Source organism: Homo sapiens, chromosome 3 (genome assembly GCF_000001405.40).
Source record: "Homo sapiens chromosome 3, GRCh38.p14 Primary Assembly".
Classification (NCBI taxonomy): domain Eukaryota; kingdom Metazoa; phylum Chordata; class Mammalia; order Primates; family Hominidae; genus Homo; species Homo sapiens.
In genome coordinates this window covers 166,205,352-166,210,265 of record NC_000003.12, presented here as the reverse complement: position 1 = coordinate 166,210,265, position 4,914 = coordinate 166,205,352, and the positions used below count along the sequence as shown (strand labels likewise).

Sequence of the window (4,914 nt, the reverse complement as noted above, 5' to 3'; positions counted from 1 at the left end):
CTCCCCAGGGGACCCTTTGTGCTCTATTTTGCAAATAGTTTGAAATTTGAATTTCCTCTTCATTATATCATGAAATACTCATCTAGATAGATAGATAGATAGATAGATAGACAGACAGACAGACAGACAGATAGATAGATAAATTTTTTAATATATATATTCTTAGATTCACTTTAAATGACTGAGCTGTTCTCAGGATTATTAATACACTTAAATTGGTGATTTTCATGTGTATTTTTTACTGCCTATTAGAAAGACACTTTTTAGATATTAGTGAGAGTACTTTTGTTTGTCAGAATGGCTGCAAGGACTTCTTACATTCAAGCACAGATGACAAAGGATGCTAAGTGTACCACGTATGCATAAGACTGTCTTACATAGATAACACTTTGCCACTTCCTACAGGAAGCAACTCACAGGATATTGTTCCAGGGATAAACCTTTTTATAAAAAACTTATCACTAGGACTTAACTGTATTTCATATTTGAACAGAAATATTTTTGCATAATTTCACATACACTAACCTGAAAATAAGTAATGAGGAAAGATTATAAGAACAGTTTCATTGTGGTTCCTGTTGGAAATTTTTCCAACAGGAATCTCCCCAAGCTTTTTCTTTCAGGCTGTAGGTGATTTAGTGTACACATTGATCCTGCTATTCTTCTGTGGGTATCTGTGGGCTGTAAGTTTGATTTCCAGCAAATTTGAGCAATGGTTGTTATTCCTGGCCTTAGTTCCAAGTTAGGAAAAACAAAGTTGACTACCTTGCATCAGTTTTTTAGCTAGACCCCAGACAAGTTACTACAGTTATAATTTGTGAATAATTTGTGAAGAAGGTCTGTTCTGCTTTCTTCAAAACCAAAGGTCAAAATTCTACACTGGAAACATGGTCTGTAGCCATTACAAGACTGCTACCATGCTTGGTTATAAATCTTTAACTGTTATCAAGAATTCTGAGAAAGTTGTTTCTGATACTTTCTGCTTTTTAAAAATTTAAAAACATTTTTAAAAATGTTTTCATGTGGGAAAGGAGTTTGTAGCTGCCTACTCCATCATCTTTTTCTGATGTTACTCCTCTACATAATTTTCATATTTCTTTTTAGCAAAAAATAGCAGCCTTATACATAATGACATTTCTGTGGCTAGAAGATGAGCCTAACAACCTTTGATATTTAATATGATTTTACTTTTCTTCATGTATACACCCCAATTCTTTAAACCGTCTTACTTACCTTGTCACATAAAAAAAGTCTTTTTAAAAAAATATTAAAATGTACCACTTTAGGGTTCACAAACTTATTATGAACTTTTATAATATTTTTATATATAGTTATTATATCATTTGTCATTAGGTTTTACTCAGAAAAAAACTGACAAATCCATAGTTATTCACTTTATGCTAAGTACTGATAATGCTTTTCCAATAATTATAGAAGTTAAGTTTAAATGTTATTTAGAACTTCTTTCATTGAATATGTTAAGATTAGTTACATTAGCTACATCTTTACTGAAGAAATATTGCTCATAAAATAATGATTTATTTTTCTGTAATTTGGATATTTCCACATTTTTCTCATGCTAAAAATAAACTTTATTTTTAGTCTTATTTTTGAACCCAACAAAAGAAAAGAAATATGGTGAGTTATTTGACTGTAAAGTACCTGGTTCTTTACCACATCAGTCTAAAAGTATCAAAGGGGCAGGTGTTGGAGTATCATTTCAATAGGAAAAATAAAAATAGAGCCTAAGCCTCTGTAGCAGATGTCAAGCATGCTGACAGCTGTTAAAAGAAAAATCATTTTCCTGATCCAGTGCAAGGAGACAGGCTGTAAGATTAAAGATGTATCTCTTTATCTATGTTTTTGGCAGATCATTTCCACTGAATAGGGCCTGAAAAAATACTTCAGATGAGAAAAGGACTCCAGGAATTTTCATCATCTCAACCACACAAAAGATATAATGAAAAGTCAGAAAGTAAAGAAACATAGAAAAATAGGAACAAAAACCTAAGCTGACCAATATTCCTGTGTAGTCTTAATCTCAAATATTACTAGGATAGTTTATTCTTGTTTAAAATACTCTAAGTACTCCAGTGGTAAAGAAATAAGACACCAAACAGTAAATGGCACATACTAAGAGCTTAATAAATAATTATTAAATGAATGAATCAAATGAACTTGATAATACATAAATATTTGTTTGTAATTCATGGATTACCTTAGTTTATCTTGTCATCCAAAATGATACACAGTATAATGGCTATTACCAAAAAGAAAAATATAGCAAATACTAGTGAAGATGCCGAAAAGGGAAACTCTTATGTGCTATCATTGGAAATGTAAACTAGTACAGCTATTATAGAAAACAGTGTAAAAAATCCTTGTAAAATTAAAATTAAAACTACCACATAATCCAGTAGTCCCTAACTGGGTATATATCCAAAGGAAATAAAATCAGTATGACGAAGAGGCACTTGCACATCCTTTACTGCATCACTATTTATAACAGTTGAATTAGGTTAGAATCAACCTGAATGTCCATCGACAGATGGATAAAGAAAAGATTACACACACACACACACACACACACATGAAGACACATACAAGGTAGTGTTATCATTTTATTCAGCCATTAAAAAAAAGAATAAAATCCTGTCATTTGCCACAACATGGATAAACCTAGAGAACACTGTTAAATGAAATAAGTCAGACACAGAAAGACAAATACCACATGTTCTCACTCATATGTGGAGTCAGAAAAAATTGATTTTATACCACTAAAGAATAGAATAGGAAAAATGATTACCAGAGGCTATAGAGGCTAAAGGGGAGGGATGACTGAGAGAGAGAGAGGTTGGTCAATAGATCCAAAAGTTATAGTTCGACAGAATAAGTATTGGTGTTTTATTACACACTAGTGTTACTATAGCAAATAACAGTGTATTGTATATTCCAAAATATAAGAGATTTTGAATACCGTCATCACAGAAAAATGATGAATGTTTAAAGTGATGGATATAGTAATTACCCCGATTTGATCATTATACTATGCATACATGCATTGAAACATCACATTTTACCCCATAAATATGTGCAATTTTTATGTCAATTATAGAGTTCAAAATTAAATTTTTGAATGTTACTGTTAATTCCTATAAATTGTATTAAATTCTCAATATTTTAATAATTTAAGTTTAGTTACACAAATGATTTTGTGCATATTCACTAGTAAAATTTTTAATATTAGAGTAAGATTAAAGTTGAAAATGTCTTTTAATACCCAATTCAAGACTCTCCTTTCTCTCCTAGTTTATTACATGTGTTGCTCCATTTATAAAAACACTTATATAAGAAATATAGTAGGTAGTACAACAGAGTGTAATGGTTTGTCTGTAAATTACAATGTTTTAAAATGTAAGAGTATATCTTAGCAATGTTTTCATATTAATACACATTGAGCTACACAATTTGCATAGTATTCCATAGCATGGATAAATTAGAGGTTAACTATCTTTTTCCCTGCTGGTAGACATTTAGTATTTATGACATTTTTACTATTGCAAATATTGCTACTATCAATGTTCTTGTATATATTTCCTTGCATTTTCTGAGTGTTCCTTTAAATATAGAAACTGACAAGTAGAATTATCGGGCAAAGAAATACATGTTTTAAATTTAAGTTGAAATTTCCCTCATTTTGTGTAAATGTTGTAATATAATTATTTTGTTATTTTTACTGTTATTAGTGTGTTCACTGATAAGCTGTCCTTACCTCACATGTCTATTCAAATTAGATATATTTTCAGATAAGATGTTAGAAGATAAATAAAATATGTTCATTTCCAAATATCCTTCTTATGTTTTCTCTGGCATAAATTTTCCATTTCAGGAGGAAGTATTATGAATTATACCTTGAAAACTTTTACAAATTTTCCTCCTATGTTAGTGTATGTTCTATGCTCTACTAAACTGCATTATATAGTTTGTTTAGGCTCCATTTAAAATTTCCAGCTTATTTAAAGGTGACTTAATCGCATGATAACATTCTCAGATGTCACCAAGGGTTCAAATCTTTACTTTCTAAATGTCAGACATAGTGCTTTGCATATGATCAATATATTCCAAATAAGTATAGCTTTATAAATATTAATTACACCAAGGCCATCTTTATAAAACTCAAATCAGTTTCCTGGGTTAGTTTCTTCTTATTAGTTTTGCTGTATATGGACCTGAGATATTTAAAAATAAAATACATATTCAGTAGAATTCAAATTCATCTGTTATTTTTGGCAAAACAATATTGAAAATTTTCAGAATATAGACATTAATTATTTTCATAAATAGTTTGTAGAAAAGATATGATGCAGTGTCATAATCATTAATGTCAAAAAGCTTTCTTAGTGTCCAACTTCTCTTTCTGCAATTTAAACCTATTATTTCCTATCTAAATGTGAGTTGGAACTTAGAAGAGCCATCTACAACCACGTATGCTATATTTGAAAATTACTAAATTCTCCCACCATTGTGTCTCTCAGTTCAGTTCTTTGGTTTGTTGTTTGTTTGAGAGAGTTTTGGTCTTGTTGTCCATGCTGCAGTGCAGTGGCGTGGCCTCCCAGGTTCAAGTGATTCTCCTGCCTCAGCCTCCCGAGTAGCTGGGATTACAGGCACACACCATCACTCCCAGCTAATTTTGTGTTTTTAGTCGAGACAGGGTTTCTCCATGTTGGTCAGGCTCGTCTCAAACTCTGGACCTCAGGTGATCCACCCGCCTCGGACTCCCAAAGTGCTGGGATTACAGGTGTGAGCCACTGTGCCCGGCCTCAGTATAGTTTTTTTTTTTTTTAATCTTTCCAGATGGAAACTATTTCCAACGTGACTCTTTAAAGTTTTGCAAACCATATGTACACTACGTAG

The 4,914-nt window shown here is 31.4% G+C and overlaps 1 annotated feature.

The window, feature by feature from the left end:
• Positions 278-478: a silencer, noted in NCBI's record as "peak4903 fragment used in MPRA reporter construct". NCBI's record gives its function as "represses an SCP1 promoter by STARR-seq MPRAs in K562 erythroleukemia cells {active_cell/tissue: K562}" and the evidence as "EXISTENCE:reporter gene assay evidence [ECO:0000049][PMID:32103011]".